The sequence below is a fragment of the Homo sapiens genome, chromosome 18 (assembly GCF_000001405.40).
Source record: "Homo sapiens chromosome 18, GRCh38.p14 Primary Assembly".
NCBI classification, from domain to species: domain Eukaryota; kingdom Metazoa; phylum Chordata; class Mammalia; order Primates; family Hominidae; genus Homo; species Homo sapiens.
Window position 1 is genome coordinate 80,142,614 of NC_000018.10, and position 21,590 is coordinate 80,164,203.

General features: G+C 45.6%; 1 protein-coding gene and 1 long non-coding RNA gene across 3 annotated transcripts in view, besides 4 other annotated features; one reads left to right on the forward strand and one right to left on the reverse strand.

Annotated features, from left to right (window-relative positions):
- Window positions 4,868-5,027: a silencer, noted in NCBI's record as "silent region_9593". NCBI's record gives its function as "represses an Ori minimal core promoter by ATAC-STARR-seq in GM12878 lymphoblastoid cells {active_cell/tissue: GM12878}" and the evidence as "EXISTENCE:reporter gene assay evidence [ECO:0000049][PMID:35858748]".
- PARD6G-AS1 (PARD6G antisense RNA 1) overlaps window positions 5,311-21,590 on the forward strand; it is a 30,509-nt gene continuing 14,229 nt past the window's right edge. Inside the window, exons 1-2 of one of the 2 annotated variants that reach the window (NR_028339.1) lie at window positions 5,311-5,641; window positions 19,903-19,990. This is a non-coding gene — a long non-coding RNA (PARD6G antisense RNA 1). The remainder of the gene's footprint in view (window positions 5,642-19,902; window positions 19,991-21,590) is intronic. The other variant, NR_028340.1, reaches the window with a different exon arrangement.
- Window positions 5,718-5,817: an enhancer, noted in NCBI's record as "active region_13549". NCBI's record gives its function as "activates an Ori minimal core promoter by ATAC-STARR-seq in GM12878 lymphoblastoid cells {active_cell/tissue: GM12878}" and the evidence as "EXISTENCE:reporter gene assay evidence [ECO:0000049][PMID:35858748]".
- Window positions 5,838-5,917: an enhancer, noted in NCBI's record as "active region_13550". NCBI's record gives its function as "activates an Ori minimal core promoter by ATAC-STARR-seq in GM12878 lymphoblastoid cells {active_cell/tissue: GM12878}" and the evidence as "EXISTENCE:reporter gene assay evidence [ECO:0000049][PMID:35858748]".
- Window positions 14,619-21,590, reverse strand: part of PARD6G (par-6 family cell polarity regulator gamma) — a 90,283-nt gene continuing 83,311 nt past the window's right edge. Inside the window, exon 3 of the mRNA NM_032510.4 lies at window positions 14,619-17,993. Coding sequence (NP_115899.1) covers window positions 17,158-17,993 — 836 coding nt within the window. The 3' untranslated portion in view covers window positions 14,619-17,157. The remainder of the gene's footprint in view (window positions 17,994-21,590) is intronic.
- Window positions 17,137-17,206: a silencer, noted in NCBI's record as "silent region_9594". NCBI's record gives its function as "represses an Ori minimal core promoter by ATAC-STARR-seq in GM12878 lymphoblastoid cells {active_cell/tissue: GM12878}" and the evidence as "EXISTENCE:reporter gene assay evidence [ECO:0000049][PMID:35858748]".

Below are 21,590 nucleotides of genomic sequence, written 5' to 3' on the forward strand. Positions count from 1 at the left end.
AACATAGAGATGGTTACCAGAGCAGTTCCTATGTGCCAGGTGCCATTCTAAACATTTTGCATGTTAAATTTGATAGTGACAATATATTAGTGACGAAGAATGATAGTCCTGAGTTAGTGAAAACAACGATAAAAAAATGCATGCAGTTTTGCTGTTTAGATTCTCTCTGCTGAATTTTCATGAACTAAGCAACAAAATTGCCATCTATGAAGTACTGCTGGAAGTTTCTCTTATGGTTATTAAGTGTCCAGTTTCTTCAAGCTAATTTCTTTTCATAGGTGGTGAAAGTAAGTGTGAGATGTTTCTGATGATGAGGGCTTACTTGGTAGCACACCTGCTAACTCAGGCTTCTGCAAGTTCGGCTTTCTGTTGTGCAGATGCTACACCACAGCTTTAGAATTCTGATTTTTGATCATTTGTCCTAAGTACTAAGTCTTTAATATTAACTGCAAGTTTAAATGTCATTTTAGCAATATAGAGGTTATGTAGGGAAGCTGTTTTCATATTTTGTGAATGTGCCTAAAAATACATTACTTAGAACAGTACCCAGCCCTTCACTTTCTTCAGATCCTAAACTCAGGAGTTTCTTAATTTATGATCCATGAACTCCCTTGGGTAAAAAGTGTAAATATGTGACCTAGAAGGTTGGAAAAATGTTAAAGTCTAGAATATTATCAGATTTTTCATAATAGAGAGTTAAAATGAGAATGTACTTAACTACCAACCTCAAAGACCTATGCTTATATGGGGACTGCTGTCTAGGAGACCACCTTATAAAGTAGATGAAACGCCAGAGCCTGTGGTGTCTGAAAGGGATCTTTAGGCCCATCATGGTGTCCAGTTCAAAACAAATACTAATACCAGTCATTCACGCAAATGATTCAGCTGTGCATTTTGAGAGGAAAAATATATGTAAGGTTGCTAAACAGTAGCTAGTGTTGTTCTTCATGGCCTTTTAAAGAGGGTGCTCCAGACCCACTTATCTTCATTTTGCTCATCACCAGCAACATGATTTCTTTTTTTTTGCATGCTCATCTCTGAACTAAACATTATTTCTTTTAAAAAAGAAAATACATAAAGTCCTTTTCAGAAGGGAACTTTCCGATAAGAATTTAAGATATTTAAAGTGTAAACTAAACTTTGGCAGCCACATAGACGTCTATGTTTGCTGTATGCAAACTAAGCTGTGAGGTCATACTTTCAAATACAAATACAGAATTAATTGCAATGAATCAATGTATTTTTTTTCCAGAAATTGTGTAGTTTCCTACAGTTTTGAACCCATGATATGGAAAGTTTAATGTTAAATAATTTGTCATTCACCTAAAAGTGCACTAGAAAAAATAGAACATTAGCAATGAATCATAAGGCTTTAGTGGTTCAGTGGTTCTTCTGACAGTAATCTTTCTGTGTTAGATGTATGTGTATCTCGAAAGAGTCATAAAATTCATAAAAACATCCTGTGAGAGTCACAGATCCATTCACTCGTTGGACTTCCTGGCCTCCTACCAAGCAGCTTGTTTAGAATGGGAAGACTGAATATATGGAAAAACCACACAAGACAGTTTGCTGAAAATAAAAACAATTCAAACTCCAAGCATCACATATATATAATTAGGATCCCAAATTTGGACTCTTATAAGCTACAAATGCTTGAAAGAGTCCCTGTGTAGGCCCAGATTAGACGTCTCATTACAACAAGGAAAGTGATCTTTGGTCCTAAAAAGGATGGGAGATTCATCCACCGTTTGTTATTATATTGTGGAAAACAGCTTATGAAAATAACTGGGAATTTATAAGAGGTCATTTTAAAGAGATTAGGAATTTTTTAGGGAAGGTCATTTTTGGCTATTAAAACATTTTTCTAGGTTTTATATGTGCTTTCAAATGATTAAATATATCAGTAAGACTACACGAAAGGAGAGGACAGAATTGAAGGGGAGGGCAAGGATTTTTGGAATGCACTTGGGAATTCCAAGTTCAGCCCTGCTCTGTTGCCCTGCTCTGTCCCCTGCTCCCATTTCCAGCCCCACGACCCCTTTGGGATGAAGCAGCTTGGGTGTCTAATTGTGTTGGTTCTAAGGCTGCCACTCTTCTGGTTATGTCTCACATGTTGTTAGAAAATTGATAACCTCATCCCAGAACTGCACATTGTATTTACAGTGGTTCTCTGTACCCCCATTTCCTAGTCACAAACGACTTCACTTCTGACTTCATTTTTTATTCATAGGTGATAGTAGTGATCATCTTTGTCTAATAAGCTCCTAATTGAGAAGTGAGCAGAATACATCTGTATCAACTCCCAGTGCTGTACATTTTCTAGCCATTTCCTAGCTATTTGTAGCATCGGTTTTTTGTTTTTGTTTTTTTGCTTTGATATAATATTCCGTGTTTAACTGGTTTGATAAATTAGGGTAAAAGTTGAGATACTAAAAATAGATGTGTTGCTACTAAAATGCTAAACATGGTTTCAGTTCAGTATCTTATGAAAAACAAAGTTCAGTATGAAATCTGTTTAGTAATAAAGTTAGACTGTCTAGGGACATCACCATGTCTATCAGTTCTTACCTATTTGAGTCCTACTTAGAAATCCTTAAAAACATTTTTAGAATGCACATGGTTTTGTCTAAATTAAACTTCTAGTTTCCAGGGTCAAAATACTTATCCATAATGTCTGAAGGACTTGGTATAATTTAACAATATCCTGAATCTAATTTCTCAACACTAAAGAAGTTCTGACTATGACTACATAAGCTTCTACATCTGAGAACCCATGCCAAGTTCTTGCTCCCTTGGCCTGCTTTTCCGTTTACAAAAAGTGGGGGTGGGAGCAGTAGGATGATTCCTTCTGTGTTTCTTAAAGGTGTTTTCAGTATAATCATGTTTATTTTCCATGTGCTAGAAGTGGGGACTGGATCTTTGCCATTTCCTGAACAGTTAATTAGCAAGCTGCTTACCTGCAGTGATCTGCAAATTCATTGATGCCACACCCTGCTCTCCTGAAGGGTTGTCATGGTGGCTGCAGGCAAAGACTGAACAGGCAGATTCAGAGTTCAGAAAACAGCGTATTCCTGAGCGGGACTAGATGTCTTTTTGCTTTCTAATACAAAGTCCAGATCATTTGAACTCAGACTTCGGAGATTAGCATAACTGTCTTGATAAGTTTGCTCTCTTTACGTCTCTCTGTAACAAGGTCTTTCTGCCTGTGGTAGCCCTCCGGAGAAGTGATGTGCAGAAGAGATCACCAGGAAGAACGTGCCAGAATGATTGCTTTTATTTAAAATCTACCATCCATTAACTTAAAGGTTAAGCTGCCACCTACATTTGGCAATGTTATATGCTTCTAACAGTGTTTTCTCACTGTTAAAATGTTTGTGCATATAATTTAAGATTATAGAGTATACCTACTCCATGAGCAATAGTATAAATATTTTACCATAGGGCTAATACTGCAGACCTTTCTTCCTAAAGCAGTAAAGTATCTTGGACCAAATTTCCCTGGTTATATTACCACATACATTTATCTCCTATTAAAGTTTATATTGACTTTAGATAACATTTCCAGTAGTTGAAAGATGCTAATGAAATATAAAGGGCAACTTGCAGTCTGATAAAATTACACGATGAGGTGCTTCAGCTGTTGAACACAGTGAAGTAACTGCTGAGCTGGTTATGTCCCTTATGATTTTATTTGTATTGAGTTCATTTGAATCTTTCAAGTTGACCCTGTGTGTCTGCTTTGTTTCAGTGGCCTTAGCAGAGGTGTGCAGTACCCTTTCGTTTACGAGATTAGGGGAGTACCACAAATCTAAAACCTAAGAATAAAGGGTGAGATTAAAGCATGTTACTCTGACTCTACATCATTTTGGGTAAAATGTGATCTTCATTACTACTTTCATATATATAGGTTTCTAAAATTTGTTGAAATCAGTCATTAACGCTGGACCAGAAGAGTTCAGGTGGATTAATCTGTCATCACTGTGGGCTCTTGGGGGTATGGCTGGCTTGAGTCTGTTTAGATTGCTTCCAAGCCCTTTCTGTTGATTTTGTCCATTTTCTCTACAGCTCCTATGAGTTGGTGTTACATTGCTATTGACCAAAAGCCTGAACTGCCCTAGATATTTAAATTCTAATATTTACTTGCCAGGCGCTAATGGACACAATCATAACCCAAAATGAAAATATAGTAAATCAAATAGCTTTTTTTCTGCTGTGAATTCAGCTGGCATCTGGATATTTGAATAGACCAATTAAAAATACAAGTATCTTGGCAACTTCATTGCTACATCTTAGTGTTTAAATTACAGCAGTATTAGAGATATAAACCAAACATACCTTATCTAACATCCCCCAAAACTCATCAATTCTAATTCTAGTTAGAAAGTCTTCAAGACTCCTGTCTAAAGCTTTGATTTGTAATAAATAGGATTAACTAAGTTTGTGCATTTATGAATAGAATCTTTAACAGTTTTTAAGAACTCTGCAAAGGATAGCATTGGTTATTAACTTGATAATTTCATTAAATTTTTTTCTTGAGACAGGGTCTCACTCTGTCGCCCAGGCTGGAGTGCAGTGGTGTGTGTGATCTCGGCTCACCGTAGCCTCCGCCTCTGGGGCTCAAGCGCTTCTCCGGGCTCGGCCTTTCAAAGTGCTGGGACTACACGCGTGTGAGGCACTGTGCCTGGCCAACTTGATAATTTCAATAGCAAAACGGTATCCTATAGAAGGCTTGTTTCTTAGTTGGTATAAGTTGCTAAGTAATCATTAATTCAACTCGATAAACCTGGTGGGTTTTGTGTTTCGTTCGTGTCATTTGTGAAGCCCGACAGGAAGAGTGGAGCCCTGCGCTGTGTGCGTGCGTTTTAAAGCGTGCTGGAAACGTCTACAATGGCAGCGCAGCCAGCAGCCACGCGGCCTTGGCCACCCCCGAGCTCACGGCCGCAGCTCGGCCCGGGCCCCCTGGACGTCCGCCCTGGGCAGGGGCCGCCGCCTCCGAACGCATCTCTGCCTCCCTAGGACGAGGCAGCCGAGGGAGGAGAGCGGCCAGGACTGCGCTGTGGCTGGACGGCGGATGAGGCTTCTTTCAACAAGGCGAGTTTCAGTGAGAAATGCGTGATGCTTTTGATGTTTCAACAGAATATTGTTTCTAAGATTATGTATCTTGCACGTTTGGCACTTGAGGGGGTGCTCATCTTTTGATTCCGCTATTGAGGTAGAGGCGGGACGGGGGAAGCAGCTTTCAGTAAGACCCGCCCGCTCTTGCCCTGTCAGTTTACCATTGCCATGGCAACACCCGGAAGTTGCCGCCCCCTTTCCATGGCAACACCCTGATGGCCGAAAGTTACTACCCTTATTCCAGAAATCTCTGCATAATCTGTCGGTTTGCATATAATTAACAGTGGCTATAAATGTGAGTGCAGCCCTGTCCTGTCCTCAGCTGCTGCCCTGGGCGCACTGCCTTGCGGGTCACTGTGGCTGCTCCTGTGCTTCAGCGGGACTAGAAGCTGCCGCCCACGGGCAGCGGGGAAGAAATCTGGGCAAAGCCATGAGCCCTCCGAGGCTGAGCTCCAGTTTAGGGGCTCACCTGCCTTGCATCGTTCCGAGTCCTGTACTGGACTGCATCAGGCCGCGTCTCCTCAGGGTGAGTACTTGTGGCCTCAGGGTAAAGGGCTTTTCTCAGGACGCGAGGCCATTGCTGGGAGAGGCAGATTAGGCTGGGGATCCGGACTCCGTTCCTAGCATCTGCTACCTCAGGACGGAGACGAACATGCTATAAAATGTTTAACCGTGTGATAACAACTCTCCTAGAAAGGAAAGGGGATGCCCCTGAGGAGACTCGGTGCTCCCCACAGAACTCCCCAGCGATCCCAGATGGGAGAAGCTGAGCTGCGCGGGCGCTGCCCTCACTCCGGGGGTGAAACGTGGCTGTGATTTCCACAGGTGACAGAAACCAGGCAGTGATTCAACTCGTATTTGACTTTCACATTCTCCAGCAATGTTCTTCAATCTGGGAAGGGTAGAAAATTAAAGAAAGGTAAGGAGAGTTAAAAAATGAGATCATTTCAAAGTAGATGCAGTCTTGAAGCCCAAATGAATTACGAGATCCAGTTTGAAAGCTGCTGCAGAAGTGATTTCAGAATCGCGCGGTGGCTCCGGAATGGGGAACTGCTGCTGAAAGAGGTCGGAAAGGGTGGGGACTGAATTTCGGGTAAGAGGACGCCAGTGGTTCTGGAGCACGCGGCCTTCAGCCATGCCTGCGTTCACAAGTACATTATTTCAGACTCACTCCAAGTTTACATCTCTAAGCCCATCCAAGCCATGGCAGCGCGAACCTCTCCCTCCCCCAGCTCAAGGCCTCTGGGCCCCCAGGACAGAGGACAGAAGAGCCAGCCCCTCCTGGCTCAGGGTTGCCGGGACCCCGTGATGGCTGCTGTGCCTCTCCTGAGGTGCCAGGTGAGAGCTGAGACTTCTGCTCCCGCTGCACCAGCTCCGTTTGTCTCCAGGCGCAGTGTCAGTCTCGTTCTTTAAGCGCTTCTGAGGTCCCATCAGCACAGGTCTCGTCTTACCTGGAAAGGCTTGTTGCCTTGTGCCTGGGACTTTTTATTCTGTGCTTTTCTTCTGGATATTAAATTTCATATCCACGCTTGCTTGTCACTCAGACCTTATTGCCCTCTCCCTCCCATTGGAACACTCTAGTCATTTCTGTTTTCAACTGTAAACCAGTCTCATTCATGGTGAGAAATTAATGCTCCCTGGGTGTGGTCAGCAGACGGTATCAAACCATGCAATCTTTTAAGGTCCATTCAAACACAGACCTCCAAAATGATTTATTGTTACACATATTATGGTCATAAGGCGTTTTCAAATCATAGGTAAACAGGACAGTGTATGTGTGCAAAAGAATGATTGTGCCCAGAAATCTCGGTAAACAGGTCAACTAAGAGCCCAAAATATATTTCTAGAGTGCTTACACCCAGAAGTGAGTACTGATTTGCTTTTAATTAATATTTGGAATGAATGGGGTGCCAGGAGGACCCAAGTATGAAGTATTTATGTGGGTGGTGAGACTAGGAGTGATTTTGTTGTGTTTTTATATTTTAAAAATTTTCTAAAATGAATGTGCATTTAGTCCTCTAAAAATATAAGTGGTGTCCCATTTAACAGTGCTACCAGTTGGAAAAAGGGATTAACCCTATTTACCCAATTTATTGTATATAAAGTTGTTGCTGTCATTGTTGAAATTAGGTGCTGCTAGATTGTGCAAGTATCAAAGTTCAAAAAAAGTGGGTCATCTGATTGGTTGTTGATCACTGCAACAGCAAAGTTCTAGGCAATTAATGTTTTTGTTACTTTTGAAACATAAGGGCAAGGAATTAACAAAAAGTGTGTGGGACAGGGACAACTCCTCCCCTCTGGCCTCATAACAATGTTCTTGAAGTTTGCTTTTTCTTCTCTACCACTTGCATTTGCTAAGCAGAAAGTGTTGGGGTGTGTACTCCACAGGAGTGGTTCACTGAGGTGATGCTGCCCTGCACCAGCACCCTGAGGTGAGGAGACTGCTTTGGGGCAGGCAAGGGGCCAGGAGAGAGCAAACAAGTATTATTTTTCCTGTGTGTAGACTCATATTTAATAATTGTTGAAGAAAAAAGCCTTAACACCACATGTAGCAAGTTTTAATAGAGTTTTCTGATTACCTTGGTCCCATGGCTGACCAGTGACCGCCATTATGCCTGCAGAGATGGGATGGTGAGCCATCATTTCTCCTTCCTCTTTCCTGAAACTAGTTCTGATACCATCAGTGGCTTAGTCTCTATATGTCCATCAGATCCTGCCCAATGCTGGGGACAAAACATGAATGAAATGGAGTTACCCCTCAAAGAGCTCCCAGCTCTAAAGCCATGATCCTGTGCTCCATCAATACACAGGAGCAAGGGGGAAGGCAGATGTTCCAGGAGGAGCAGAGAAGGCTTCACAGAGGGAGGCAGCACAGCCGACCTCAAGTGTGAAGGGAAGCTGCAGGGGAAGTGCAGAGCAGTCCCTTTCAGGCCAAGCAACAGCACAAAATACCTTTGAGACATAGACATATGAGAGGCACAGCTCATTTGAGGAGCATTGAAGAGTTTAGGGGCACAGAATTAGACTTCAGGGTTAAGTTCAGGACCTGGGATCAGAGTCTGGTAAGTTTAAAGGTTCTTGAAATAATTCTAGTAAATAAATAAATGTGGTAAGACAGTGCAGCAGTACAGGTGCAGAAGCTTCAGAAGCCGTCCTTTCTCCTCTCCTCATCCTCTTCCTTCCCTCTCAGCCCTAAACTGAGGCAGAGCGAAGAGGGCTCCAACTGGCAGAGGAAGAACTGGTGGGGCTTGGAGTTGGCTGTGGAGCCAAGCAGGGTGGTGAGGAAGGGTCCCCTGGGGAAGGTGAGAATGGCCCCTGTCAGTGTGAGTGGGGCTGGGAGGCTGAGAGGTAGCTGTGAAGGGGCATCGGGCCTGGAGATGGGGGAGGGCACCTGTGTGGGGAAGAGGGTGGTGGTGGTGACGGGAGGTTGGTGGTTACATTCAGGGGACTGATCAGCACATGAGTATATTAAGGATAATGGGAGCAGGTTTCTTACAAACAAGGAAAGGAAGAATCAATAGAGATGTAAATGCGTGTGTGCACATGTATGTTTGTATGTGAGAGAGAGAGAAAGATCATCTCCAAGACCACCCTCAGGTTTAGTGAGTTTCAGAAAGAACTCACAGGCCTCAGAAGTCATTCTGCTCATGGCTACAGTCTTCCTAAGGGGACACTGTAAGGGGAAAAGGCACAAGGCAAAGGCTGCAGGAAGCCTGTGTGAGTTGTGAGCACCCTCTCCTAGGGCAGTCAGGAGGGATGTTCCTGACTCCTCCAGCAGTGAGCTGTGATGATGTGTGAGGTGCTGTCCACCAGGATGCTTGCCTGAGCCTGACTCCTGCGTGTGGTTTGGGGGATTGGTCCCATAGGCACACAGGAGGCTACAGAACCCCGGAAGAAAATCGGGGGTTCGTTGTAAGTCACATCATTTGTACGAATTGTCCAGAAATTGTCTGGACAAAAGGGTGCAGGTGATGCATGTTTCTAAGTGTGCAAAACACTCATGCTACAGTGTCCAACTTTTTTGGCTTCTCTGGGCCACAGTGGAAGAAGAATTGTCTTGGGCCACACATAAAATACACTAACACTAATAATAGCTGATGAGCTAAAAAAAAAAAAAAAAAAAAGTCCATGCATAATTTTCATGATAACCTTATTAAAAAGTGGGCAAAGGACATGAATAGACATTTTTCCAAAGAAGACATACATATGGCCAACAGGTATATGTGAAAATGCTCAACATCACTAATCATCAGAGAAATGCAAATTAAACCACAAGATATCTCATCCTACCCTAGTTAGAATGGCTGTTATTTAAAAAGTCCCAAAACAGATGTCGGCAAGGATGCAGAGAAAAGGGAACTCTTATACACTGTGGGAATGTAAATTAGTACAACCTGTATGGAAAACTGTGGAGATTTCTCAAAGAACTAAAAATAGAACTACCATTTGATCAGCAATCTTCCTACTGTGTATCTACCTAAAGGAAAAGAAATCAATATATCAAAAAGATACATGCACTCTTATGTTTATCGCAGTACTATTCACAATAGCAATGATAGAGAAATTAGCCTGAGTGTCCATCAGGGGATGACTGGATAAAGAAAATGTGGGATAAATATATACACAGTGGAATACTATCCAGTCCTAAGAAAGAATAAAAATGTCTTTAGTGACAACATGCATAGATTGGAGGTCGGTATCTTAAACAGGTCAGATCCCAAAAGACAAAGATCATGTGTTCTCACTCATGAGTGGTAGCTAAAAAATGTGTGCACATGGATGTAGAGAGTGGAATGACAGACATTGGAGACTTGGAAGGGTGAGAGGGTAGGAGGTGGGTGGGTGATGAGAACTTAAGGAGTACAATGTATATTATTTGGGTGATGATACCCTAAAAGCCCTCACTTGACCAGCACACGTTGTGTGCATATATCCAATTATGCACGGACCTTTTTTTTTTTTTTTTTTTTAAGATCATCAGCTATCGTTAGTGTATGCATGCTGAATAGGGTATCCAAAACTAGTACCCCACGGATTTATACAAATAAAAAAATGGTTACTAGTAAGGATGACTGTAAGATTTCTGCTTAGATTACTATTGTAGTAGCATTCACCTAAGACATTCTTTGTCCAAAATACTTTCAAATACAAAAATCATGATTCCAAGAAAGTGAAGAAACAGGATGCTCAGAGAAAGGATTGCCCGTTTCTCACTGATTGTCTTTCTATGGGTCAGTGGTGCTGAGCAGGGAATATTCCCTTCCATATTTTCAACAGTAACTTGAGTGACCCTTTACATATAAGCAGACTTTTAATTCCAAATTTTTGTTTGTTTTTTTGAGACGGAGTGTCGCTCTGTTGCCCAGGCTGGAGTGCAGTGGTGCGATCTCAGCTCACTGCAAGCTCCACCTCCCAGGTTCATGCCATTCTCCTGCCTCAGCCTCCCGAGTAGCTGGGACTACAGGCGCACACCACCATGCCCAGCTAATTTTTTTTGTATTTTTAGTAGAGACGGGGTTTCACTGTGTTAGCCAGGATGGTCTCCATCTCCAGACCTTGTGATCCGCCCGCCTCGGCCTCCCAAAGTGCTGGGATTACAGGCATGTGCCACCACGCCCGGCTAGTTTTGTATTTTTAGTAGAGACGGGGTTTCTCCATGTTGGTCAGGCTGGTCTCGAACTCTCAACCTCAGGTGATCCAGCTGCCTCAGCCTCCCAAAGTGCTGGGATTACAGGCATAAGCCACTGCGCCTGGCCTAATTCCAATGTTTGACCGAGGAATGAAGTCACTTACACTGGATGGCAGAGTCTGCCTATTGCTGGCTAGAATAGACAGTGAAGATGCATTCCCGAATAAACCAAAGGTGGTAGATGGTGTCTTTCCTTAGCCAGACTGTGTGGATAAACATTGCATTTTTATTTATTTATTTTTTTGAGACAGGGTCTCACTCTGTCACCCAGGCTGGAGTGCAGTGGTGCAGTCATAACTCACTGCAGCCTTGACCTCCTAGGATCAAGCGATCTTCCCACCTCAGCCACCTGAGTAGCTGGGACTACTTTTTTTATTTTAGGCAAAGAGAATGTACTTGGCTAATTATAAAAACATTTTTTTGTAGAGACAAGATCTGTGTTGCCCAGGCTGGTCTTGAACCCCTGAGCTCAAGAGATCCACCTTGGCCTCCCAAAGTGATAAGATTACAGGCATGAACCACTGCACCCAGCCTGCATTTCTACAAACTGATAGATGGGGTGAGAAAAACAGTTAAGCCAGAACATACAGGTGCAAATTATGGCTCTGAAAAGTATTTGTGTGATATTAGAAATATTAGTGTGCCTTCATTTTCTCATCTGAAAAGTAATGGTAAATGGTAAAAATTTACAATATCCTCCTTCTGGCTCTGTTTTTCTTGTCATTTATTGATAAATGAATTATGTGTTATCTTTTGTTTGTTGCCTGTTTCTGAAGCATAAACTCCAAGGAAACATTGGTTTACTCATCCACACTAAGTAGGATCGTTAGTAATCGTTAGTAACTGAACATCAGAGAGAATATGACAGCCTCTGAATAAAGAGCTTATGCTGGCATGGGAAACAAATGCAAAACCGTCGTGGCAAGCAGAGGGCATGAAGTCGGGGTTTCAGTGTTTCGCCTGTTGCCTGTTACCACCCATTACACAGAAGTAGATTTGGGACTCAGGTACTCTTATTAGTTGGTGTGGTGCCCTCTGTGGCCTGGTTCTGGATCTGCAGCCCAGTTACTGAAAGTAGATTTGGGGCTCAGATCCTGTCATCCATGTATGTGGTGCCTTCTGCGGTCTGGTTCTGTGCAGTTCTCTTTTTATGACTGGTAATCTCTGTGGCCCAGTTCTGTGGAGGTGGTTTTCCATCTCTGATTCTCTCATCAGTGTGTGCTGGTCTTTGGAGTCTAATTAATTCGAAGTTGATTTTGGATATTATCCTCATTCGTGTGTGGTGCTCCCTGTGGTCTGGCTTTGTGGAAGTCAATTTTGGATTCTGATCCTGTCATACATCTGGCATTCTGCAGTCCCATCACATGGCACTGTGCCCTTCTTATGCTGCAGTCTTATTATGAGAAAGGAGGTTCCATACTCTGATCCTCTCATCTATACGTTTAGGTCTCTGCAGTCTGGCCTCAGATGGGTTTCATATAGGGTGTGTAATTTGGCTCTGAAGTGGTAAGACAGACTTTTCTGTCATCACGGCCATGTTGCTTAATAGCTCACCTGACAGTCTACTGGAAGTACAATTCTTGTAAAAGAGCTCTTGCCTGGCACTTTGTCTTGAGAGCAAGGGGACTCAAGTCAAGAAATAATGTGTTTATCTTCAAAGCTCCCTGGGAAAGCAAATTTGGAAAATGGCACTCATTTTCTGGGTTGCAAGATCAATGATGAATCATGTTTGCTTTTTATTACTGTTATAGAGTTATGTCTCTCCTTGGGAACATGGCTCAGTATTGAAAACATTCTCAATACCCTCAAGTTGTTTTTTTTTTCCCCATGAGGATAAAGGAGAATAAAACACAAGATAAATGAGGAAAGGTAAGAGGGAAAAAAGAATTTGTATATTGATTTGGAGTGTCTTCAGGAATAAATAGGAGATGTTCAAAGCATAAAGGAGAACGTTAAGAAGACTAGGTGTATAGATGTGGCGCCAGAATGGTGGTGGTGGGAGATAATTCAAAAAATAGTATTTGTGCACTTAGGAAATACTTTTGCAGGTTACCTGATGTGAAATTACAATATTGATACCAGCACATAACATCCTAGAGGGAAATCCTATGTGCTTGTTGGATAGGGTCTCGGTCATCAAGTCCAAGTTTATAGGCAAGTCCTATAAGCTTGGGGGATTAGCCAATGGTTCTCAAATGTGATTCCTGCACCAGCAGCATCAGCATCTACTGGGAACTTGTTAGAAATGAAAATTCTCAAACTCCACCCAAGTTCCTTAAATCAGAGCCTCTGGGGTAATCCAGGCACTCTTTTATTTGTTTTGTTTTTTTGAGATGGAGTTTGCTCTGCTGCCCAGGCTGGAGTGCAGTGGTGTGATCTTGGCTAACTGCAACTTCAGCCTCCCGGGTTCAAGCGATTCACCTGCCCCAGCCTCCAGAGTAGCTGGGATTACAGGTGCACGCCACCATGCCCAGCTATTTTTTTGTATTTTTAGTAGAGCTGGCGTTTCGCCATCTTGGCCAGGCTGGTCTCGAACTCCTGACTTCAGGCAATCTGCCCGCCTTGGCCTCCCAAAGTGCTGGGAATACAGGTATGCACCACTGTGCCTGACCAGCAGGTGCTCTTTAAACAAGCTGTTCGAGGGGACGAGGGTTCACCCTCCGGTTTGTTTGAAACAGGAGGTCCTTGAGCTCACGCTGAGCAGCTTACCTTTCCAGAAATGGGCAAGCTGGAAATCAGCTAAGTAGGTTCATACTTTCAGTAGGAATGGTACACATTAAGTATCTTAGTGCATTTGGGAACTGGCCATTAGTGCAGCCTTACACCATTTTAATAAACTATTCAGACCGTGTGAGTTTTAGTGCTGCCATAAAAAACTTCATACTAGTGCCAACTTTTAAAATGCAAGGATCAAAAGTTGACCCTACCACACTTAGTTCATACTTGCATCCTTTAAAAACATTCCACAGAGGTGCAGGTAACTTACATGTCCTTCTGTTGGAAAATTTAGATTTTCGCTAATATAGATTTCACAACAATCATGGCATTTTTTAGATACTTTTGCACCTTGCCACAAAACTCTCACTCGCTGTGATCATTTTATGTGAAACCATAAAATATTAAATACCCTCACCAAATTGTGAATAAATTTGCCATATGATGTGGACTATCAGGTCAGGGAAACCCAAGCCTGAGGCCACACCCGGCTGGCAGCCAGGGGCACATGTGGCCTCTGCTTACACTTAAGCCTCGTATCTCATCCTGCTGAAAGCGGACATTAGTTTTGGAGAGTGTACCCAGTGTTGGCACTTGACTCCTGCCTCATCAGACTGTGGGGGTCAACTGTCCAGCTGCCGACAGTCCAGAGTTGCTGTGGGGACTCAGCAGGTGGCGAGTACTTGTGAAGCTCCTAGTAGGGTACCTGTGCTGCTTCCAGGATGCTGGTGCTCAATGTGATCACATCTGTAATTTGCTGAGTAACTGAATTTGTAATTGTAATTTGACTCTTGATGGCTGCCAGAACGACAGTGTTAATGAAAACCGTGCCAACCAGGGCACATTTAGGAAGGACTGTGTGCTGTATAAATATTCAGAAAAGCTTTTTCAAAAAGACTTCGAGAGAGGGTTCTGGACTGTCATCTGTCTATCTGATGAGCTTGGGCCCATTTTCTCATCTGCGTCCCTCAGAGAGTATGTGCGGATTCCGTGAAAGATGGTACATGATAAGCACTTGATAAATCTGTCATTCTCTTTGAGGGATTACTTTATCTCTGGTATTCTCTTCCACTTAGAACACAGGTGAAATATTCATGCATTTTGTTTACTCAAAAGTCAAAAAAGTTTTTATTCTCTGATATATAAAACCAAGAAAACTTTAATACATAATATGCATAGTTTTGTTTTTTTAAAAGGAGAAAGTGGCAGAAGTACAGACCTGTGTAGAAAAATACACCCAAGCAGCTGTTCTAAGCAGTAATTCCTAAAATTATGAATAGCACACAAATCTCAGTGAAAGCCTCATTTCTTAAAAAAAAACTCACATTTGCTTAACAACTTAAAATGTGATAAGAAATATAACCTTCCTTCTTGATAGCCGACCCAGTTATATAACAGACATTCAAGAATCAGCAATAACTTAGTAAAAGAACATTTCCTTTGTGAGGGTAACATTATTAGTTTTAGTTCCACAAAAACTGCTTCTGACTGCTGGGGCACTGAACGACATGCCCTTCATCAGAGAGCAAGTCCGGGGGGTGCGGATCCTCACCGGAGAGGTCATGGGGAAGCATCTTTGGTCTTCTCTTGCTTAGGAACAAAGGGCCAGCAATCCATTGCATACAAATAACATCAAACACAGGTGCAGGAATTCACAACTCCTCAGCAAAAGCTATTTCTTAAAAATAGAACTTGCTTTTCACTTAATATTCAGAAAAAATGAAAATGCTGAGATGCAGTTTTCCCTCTTAGCAGTTCCATGTTCACGAAGTCAGGACAGTTCTGCCACTGACCAGCAGGTGGTGCTGGACCACAAGGAGAAGCAGCGGGAGGTACGCAGCTCCGACAACCTAGAAAAATATTTCTTTACCTGTATCTGTATGAAAGATTTGGTCAGAGTTCTCAAAGTATAAATGTAACATTTTATTCAAGCAAAACACATTATATAAAATTTAATTGTATCAAATAGGAATTTTTAAAATTACTAAATATATAAACGTTGCTGGAAGATCAACATAAAGTGAGGATGAATTTAGTATTTGTTAAAAATCACTAAGTTCCACGTGACTTCTTATAGTTAAAAGTGAGAACTGCCAGTGACCATTCTAGAAATGAAAATTAGCATGTATTGTGACTTACTAAAAGAAACGTCTGTTTCAGAAAACAAAGATGAGAACTCACGTGCAAATGACTGCATTCTCAAAGACATTGCTGGACATGTGCGATGCTTATCCTTCATTTCTGCTGAAAACATTTCCGAAATCGCCCTCAGAGTCAGTCAACCCACAGGAAAAGGGTCATCTTAGAGGCAATAGAGGCTTACATCCCAAATGGGACTGCTGAGCCCAGTCCAGCAGAGCTGCTGCTTCCTACCCTGGATTTCCCCTTGAGGCTGAATGGGCCACCTATGTGGGTCACAAAAATAGCCCCTGGTCTGGTGCTGTGGCTCACGTCTATAATCCTAGCATTTTTGGAGGCTGAGGGGGGACCGTATCACCTGAGGTCAGGAGTTCAAGACCAGCCTGACCAACGTGGTGAAATCCCATCTCTACTAAAAATACAAAAATTAGCTGGGTATGGTGGCATGTGCCTGTCCCAGCTCCTTGGGAGGCTGAGGCAGGAGAATTGCTTGAACCCAGGAGGCGGAGGTTGCAGTGAGCTGAGATCCCTCCAGCTTGGATGACAGAACAAGACACTATGTCTCAAAACAAACAAAAAAAAGCCCCGGAACAATTCCACAGCTGCGGGTGCCATAAGTGTGCTGGTGGGAGCTCTCCTGTCCCAACCGAATTATGACTATGAACAGTGTGAAAATCTGGAATTCATCTCCATGGTTGTACATGGACAGGTTTGGGTGTATTTTTTTTTTTTCCCGAGACAGAGTCTTGCTCTGTCACCCAGGCTGGAGTGCAGTGGTGCGATCTCAGCTCACTGCAACCTCTGCCTCCCGGGTTCAAGCGATTCTCCTGCCTCAGCCTCCCAAGGTAGCTGGGATTACAGGCGCCTGCCACCACACCTGGCTAATTTTTATATTTTTAGTAGAGACAGGGTTTCACCATGTTGGCCATGCTGGTCTCGACCTCCTGACCTCGTGATCAGCCCACGTAGGCCTCCCAAAGTGCTGGGATTACAGACGTGAGCCACTGCACCTGGCTGCATTCGTTATTAAAAACCAGCCTCTTGTCACGTACATCAGCACAGTCGGCCTCGCCTGCAAGTCAGCAGAGAGCACAGCAAGAATGCTGAGATATGTTGCATGGGCCAACTTACTTAAAAACATGAATTTGACTATTTTAAAAAAGTAATTTTAAAGCTTCACTTTAAAAACAAAGTATTTGTAAAAATTTTAAAAAGCATTTTTTTGCACTTGGTCAGATCTTTTCTATCACTTTGCAAAGGCGCCAAGACCTGCACTCAGGCCTGGTATAGAGTGTCTCTACAGGCGTTCATTTTAAGTTCTGTGGCGAAATTCTATAAAAATAGGCAATACTTGTGTTTTTATATCCGGAAGTTGAAACAAAGAGCAGCGTTGTTTTTGTGGTCACAAAAACAACAAAAAATGAGCGGATGCAGTCTGCAGGTCCTGTCCCTGTCCTTACCGGGGAACTGGAGCTAGGATTTGGGGGCCTCTCGGGAGTCTAGAGCGTGACCGCGGGCCCGTGCTCCTCCACGCCGCCTGGCGGCAGCGCCAGGCTGTGACGGGGGTCGGCCCGCAGGGAGCTGAGCAGCCGCTGGAGGCCGCCGTCCAGGGCCAGGTCCCGCTGCAGCCGCTGCGCCAGGCCCGCGCCATTGACCCGGGAGAGGCTGCCTGCGGGCGCGCCCGGGGTCTGGGGGGGACGTGCAGGCTCCAGTGTGCCCTCGATGACGACGTCGTTGTCCTCATCGCTCTCCGCCTCGTCGGGGTGGAAGTTCTGCAGGACGCGCGGGGCGGGGGGACCCACGAAGCCCGCGGTGCCGTCCGAGGGCGGTCCCGAGCTGCCCAACGCGCGGCCGCCGCGCACCACGTTGTTGCGCTGGTTGGCGGGCTTGACGGTGACGATGAGGTTGTGGCTGTTGGCGATCATCATGTCCGTGACCTGGTCCAGCGTCTTCCCGGCCACCTCAATGCCGTTCACCTCCAGGACCTCGTCATTCACAGCCAGCAGCCCGGTGCTCTCCGCCAGGCCCCCGGGTACCATGCGCGAGATGAAGATGCCGGGCACCTTCTCCAGCCCGTGCGGGGTCACGCGCACGCTGGCGCCATCGCGGATGTAGAAGCCCAGCGGCTTCTCGCAGCCGTGCCGGTGCAGCCGCACTCGCCGGTGCGTCTCGGGGACCAGGTCCACATCGATGATGGATGATACGGGGCGGAAGTCGCGCGGGAGGCCGATGTCCAGGTGTGCACGCCGCCGGGGTCCTTCATCACGCAGCGCGCCCAGCGCCCGCCTCCGCCTGCACAGCGAGCCCGCGCCGAGGCTGCCACGCTCGGCCTCCTCTGCGGGAGAGGGGACAGTTAGAGGGGACACACAACCGAGCCCCGCCTGAGCCCTCGGCCGTCATACACCTGGCACTGCTGTTCCATCTGCGTGACGCCGAAGCACCCAGGGTGCACAGGAGCATTCCAGACCTGCAGGCTGAGCTGAAATCAGGCAAGCTCAAGTGCAGCCCCTAAAATTAACTCTCTAGCACTCTCCTTACAGCTCCACAGGCACCAAACCAAAGAACTCAGAGATTAAAAGGTGCTAGCAGGCAGCTGCAGCAGAGAGAATCAATGGCAGTGGAGGGTTTAGGGCTTGGAGGGCTGGCGAGTGCCTCAGCCTTCTGGGAGGCAGCAGGCTGGACTGGGGACTTCTTAAGCTTTGCCCATTCTCCCATATTTCCTTCTCTCAACTGTAAGACGGAGGCTCGTTTTTTTCTAAGGTTAATTACAACTAAGAGAGACCTTTCCTGCTTTCTTCTTTTCTATGCGCAAGCCCCACCACAGTGTCTTCTAGCCAGCATTCAAGGCCCCTGAATGTGTCACTCAGTCGGGCGTGTGAGCATTTCCCTGCGTTTTTGGTTAGCAGCTGATGAGGGGAGATGAGTAGAGGAAGGAGTGGGATCAGAGGATGGCTGCTTCCCTTCTGTGAGGTCCCGCACAGTCAGTGCTATTTGTAGGCACATGGAGCCTCAAGGCTCACCAATATGCCCAGCCTCCCATGGGGGCTGTGCAGCTCTCTTCCTCAGGTCTCCCAGGGACCCTGTGGGATCCGCCTGCCCACACCTGCCAGCCTGTGGCATGACACATTTGTGGCAGTGTGTAAACTTTACCCTAAAGTTGGGCTACTGCAAAATAAAATGAAAGTCCACTGAATTAATCAAGCAGAAACGTAAGGAGCTTAGTCTAAAGTAAAAATTTTAAGTGAAGAGACTGGTGGCATTTGGAAACTCTGAATAATGCATTTTCCTCATGTCAGAAAAAAAATCTTGTTTCATTAATTTTTATATGAAACCTCTTGTTCTTGACACACACGACTCTGTAAGACAGGCGTCTCGGGGAGCAGAGGGAAGGGCTTGCTCTGTGAGGCTTGGTCCTGTGGAGTTGGTGGCATCCACAGCAGCCTGCTCTTTGGGCTGGGGAGGCTCACATCTTTGCTTTGCCAGTGAAAGCCAGTAGGACCGGGAGCCCAGGCAGAAGCAATGCCATAAACAGGCGCTCCTCAGAGCAGAGACCTCCAGGCTCCAGGGGTCAGTCTGGCTTCTGCATTTCAGTGAGCAGGCAGGGCCCATTATGACTTGCTTTGGAGATGGGGAATGCTGGTTGACAGTTCTGGAAAGGACTCGAAGACAAATTACTTCCACCATGGAGGCAACATTCAGGCAGCTTGGAGAGGAGGCCAATGCTCAGGCATCACATCTCTCAACCCAGCAGAGCCCATGGCTGCCTAGACAACGAGAAGGCCCTAGCACAGGCTCTGGCACATGCTCCAGGCAGCAGGGTTAATGCACCCTGGAGCCGGGATGCCCCAGCATGAGGACTGTCTTCCTGGGAGCTGGCATCCTGGCCAGCACTCAACACATGCTGCTCAGTGACGGAACCCATCCGTCATCAGTTATCAGCATAATTTATTACCCACTGACACAGTAAGGTCTGGAAGGACTTTTGAAATAAGATGACTTTTAAAAACTATACCTGTAAACCCTGTTTACCCTGACGTGATTATTATGCATTGTATGCCTGTATCAAAATCTCATGTAACCCATAAATATATATACCTAATATGTACCCACAAAAATAAAAAAATAAAATGACACTTGTAATACTTCTTCCCAGCTGTGACCACCGGGGCTGGGTGTGCATGTCTGTCAAGTCCTTTCTTGCACACTCACACGTACATGTGGCTATGGTTGTGCTTGTTTTATAGAAATGGGATCTTGGTTCCTGGCCAGCACCCGGCCTCTCTGCACCTCATAGACACTGCAAATCCTTACTCAGTGACTTCAGGGATACAGGTGAGTGGATAAAGTCCCTGCCCTGAAGTAGCCATGAAGCGAGTGGGAGAGATACAGACTGAATTTTACATACAGCTACATGGAGAACACCGTGAGACTGGATGTGCACAGGATATGATAGGAACAGTGCGGGGGCATCTGGGGAGGTGGCAGTTATGCTGCCCGGGGTGTGGGGATCAACAACACAAAGTTCAAGAGAAGACGCCGGAGGGTGAGTGGCACAGAGCTCCTCTTCCCGTGATGAGGAGAGACTACCTGTAGAGTCCATCTGGTCTGGCTGCTGCCGCAGGTTTGGACTAACCAAGGGCCTGGGACAGAGTGGGCTCTCCCTGGACTAAAAGCTAAACCTCACTGAAGGCATCTGCCTCATGATTGCTCATTCTAAGTGGGAGGGACTGTGGATCCATGGGGCCGCAGATGGAAGTGTGGCAGTGTCCGAGGCACAGTGCTCTGCCTGCTTTCCATGATACGGGCTCTTCCCAAGGGGTCTCCTTGGATGACAAATCTATGCACTTTCAAGAAGGCAACCCCTCTGGCAAACTCATGCCTGCAAGAACATTGTGGTGCAGGTGGCCATCCACATGCTCCTCCTTGAGGACAGGCCCTATGCTCAGGCCCTGTGCTCAGAGCCACGAGCAGCAGGGCCCAGGAGAAGAGACTAAGGTTTTATGCAGGGCAGGTGAGGCCTGAGATGCTGAGGGTAGGGGAGTAAGAAATGGTGTGTGTCCATGTGTGAAACAGCCTGGCCGCCTGTCCCACACACGGGCAGAGTACAGTGAGGCTTGGCCCGGGAGAGGTGACACCTACTGTTCCAAGCATCCTCTTTCTCTCTACCACTGACTCACAGAGTTTGAGGTTCAATTTCACCTCCCTCTGAGAGCCGCTTGTCTTCAAGTCCCAGTTCACAGCCACCCATCCCGGGAGCCCCACCCCTGTTCCGCATGGTGCATTCCCTTCCACCAAAACCACAAACCTGTCTGCGTCACAAGGGCCAGGTGGAAGCATCTCGGCCATCCCCACAGGGCAGCAAGTGCTCTGGCCGTGGTGCACGGTGGACTGGATTGAGGCTCAAGCCCAGAACTGTAGGATACAGAGAAGGGCACAGCGGGCCGGGCCCCTCCTCGTAAGGGGCTTATAAATCACTTAGGTAGACCAGGGTTCCCTGCACCAATAAAAGCAAGTGTGTGGACCTCTGCTTCCCAGAAGTCATGTAGTTCTTCCCATCCCTCCTAAGTTCAACAAAAACCCTGGATGTTACATACAAAACAACAAATATAAGATGACGCAGGAGAGAAGTCGCACTAGCTGGGGCCTCAGGACCGGAGAAGCAACATGGCAGCAGCTCCTTGGGTTTTCTTTTAGCCTTGTCATCCCAGACTTGGAGCTGAAGGCACCAGCAACCTGGATGCACCAACAGGCATAGACCAAAAAGCCCCATCAAAAGTCTGCTCTGTCTGTACAAAGATCAGAAAGAGGCAGCCTAAAAGGACGGAACACGTGTGGACAATAACTACCCCACCTGCTGCACCCCACACACAGAGCCTGGACCCTCACCTCCTCAAGGCTAGAATGGGTGCCCAACAGCCCCTGGCTCTGGTGC